General features: G+C 39.3%; 1 annotated feature.

Moving 5' to 3' along the window:
* Positions 235-802: an enhancer, noted in NCBI's record as "OCT4-NANOG hESC enhancer chr2:170947905-170948472 (GRCh37/hg19 assembly coordinates)". NCBI's record gives its function as "activates a minimal SCP1, AML or CMV promoter by ChIP-STARR-seq in naive H9 embryonic stem cells {active_cell/tissue: H9 hESC(naive)}" and the evidence as "EXISTENCE:reporter gene assay evidence [ECO:0000049][PMID:30033119]".

The raw sequence follows: 1011 nt of genomic DNA on the forward strand, positions 1-1011 counted from the left end.
GCAAAATAAAGACATTAAAATAAAGATGGAGAGAATGTAACAGCAGCATAACCACACTAAGGAAGGAAAACACAAAAAGAGTTTTTGGGCAGAAGGAAAATAAGCCCTGCTGGAAGATTAAATTTTGGCAAGAAAATAAAAATTGTGAATATATGTATAGTATAACTAAATGAACACTTTCTGCATAAAATGATTATGATACTGCATTATATGGGATTTCAGTATGTATGTATGTTGGTGTTTAACAGAAATGTAATAAGACGGGGATAGATGTTCCAAAGTCCTTGCATTATCTCAGAAAATGGTGAAGGTTAATATTATACTTAGGACATAGTTTTAAGTCCTTGTTGCCTTAGATTAGGCAATCATTTCTTAGATATAACATCTAAAGCAGGGAGTCCCTAACCTCTGGGCCACGGACCCATACCAGTCCAAGGCCTGTTAGGAACCAGGCTGCACAGCAGGAGGTGAGTGGCTGTGAACAAAACTTCATCTGTATTTACAGCCACTCCCCATGGCACCCATTACTGCCTGATCGCCGCTTCCTGTCAGATCAGTGGTGGCAGCAGATTCTCATAGGAGTGTGAACCCTATTGTGAACTAGCATGTGAGGGATTTAGGTTGCTTGCTGCTTATGAGAATCTAATGCCTGATGATCTGTCACTGTTTCCCATCACCCCCAGATGGGGCTATCTAGTTGCAGGAAAACAAGCTCAGGGCTTCCACTGATTCCACATTATGGTGAGTTGAATAATTATTTCATGATATATTAGAATGTAATAATAGAAATAAAGTACACAATAAATGTAATTGCTTGCATTATCCAGAAACCATGCCCTCGCTCCAACCCCCCAGTCTGAAAAAACTGTTTACCACAAAACCAGGCTCTGGCACCAAAAAGTTTGGGAACCACTAATCTACAAAACACAAGCAATTCCCCACCCTTCAAAAGGAAAAATTTGACTTCACCAAAATTTGAAACTTTTGTGCTTCAAAGGACACTATCAAGAA

This window comes from Homo sapiens, chromosome 2 (genome assembly GCF_000001405.40).
Source record: "Homo sapiens chromosome 2, GRCh38.p14 Primary Assembly".
Classification (NCBI taxonomy): Eukaryota; Metazoa; Chordata; class Mammalia; order Primates; family Hominidae; genus Homo; species Homo sapiens.